Raw genomic sequence first — 971 nt, forward strand, 5'->3', positions numbered from 1 at the left:
CTATTTAACGAGTGATTATGGGGCCAGGTGGGTCGCTCACCTGATGTCAGGAGTTCGAGACCAGCCTGACCAACATGAAGAAACCCCGTCTCTACTAAAATACAAAATTAGCTGGGTGTGGTGGCTCATACCTGTAATCCCAGCTAGTCAGGAGGTTGAGGTAGGAGAATCGCTTGAATCTGGGAGGCGGAGGTTGCAGTGAGCTGAGATGGCGTCATTGCACTCCAGCCTGGGCAAAAAGAGTGGAACTCCCATCTCAAACAAAAAACATGTCTGCCTCACGGAAGTTGCGGTGAGCTGAGATGGCGCCACTGTGCTCCAGCTTGGGCAACAGAGTAAGACTCTGTCTCAAAAAAGAAAAAAGCCTCAATTCTGGGAGGCAGTTGGAATTATTAGGCCCTTTATATGGGCACATTGACGCTATTGCTATGCAACTTGCATGGCAACCGGGGGGCTCACTGAGGTCTTTGCTCCAGAGTTTAAGAGATTATGGCCCGAGCTTGAGTGATCCCAATGTGAGGCGCACACTGAGAGGAACTGGCCAGTGGAGCTGAGCAGCCAGGAACACGTGATGCCCAAGCAATGCTGGACAAGGGGTTTAGGGTTCATCACAGAAATGGGATGTGAAACCTTGGGCCGGATTCTCCAAATGGGAACTGAAGAAGCTTAAAACAGGCCTTAAAAAGCACTTGCTGTGTCCAAGCTGCAAAACTGCTGTGTCAGCTCTGACTCTTCCCCTTCTCCTTCCCCTGGGTCTGGGGCAGGGTGGTTCAAGCCTGTAATCCCAGCACTTTGGGAGGCCAAGGCAGGACGATCACTTGAGCCCAGGAGGTTGAGACCAGCCTAAGCAACATAGGGAGACCCCCCAAGTCTCTCTAGAATAAGAGGATGAGCTCAGACCAGGGAAGGGGTGGTACTGGGGGGACGTCACAGCCAGGCCCACCAAGTGTCATGTCTGACCACACCTGGGA

Source organism: Homo sapiens, chromosome 19 (assembly GCF_000001405.40).
Source record: "Homo sapiens chromosome 19, GRCh38.p14 Primary Assembly".
Classification (NCBI taxonomy): domain Eukaryota; kingdom Metazoa; phylum Chordata; class Mammalia; order Primates; family Hominidae; genus Homo; species Homo sapiens.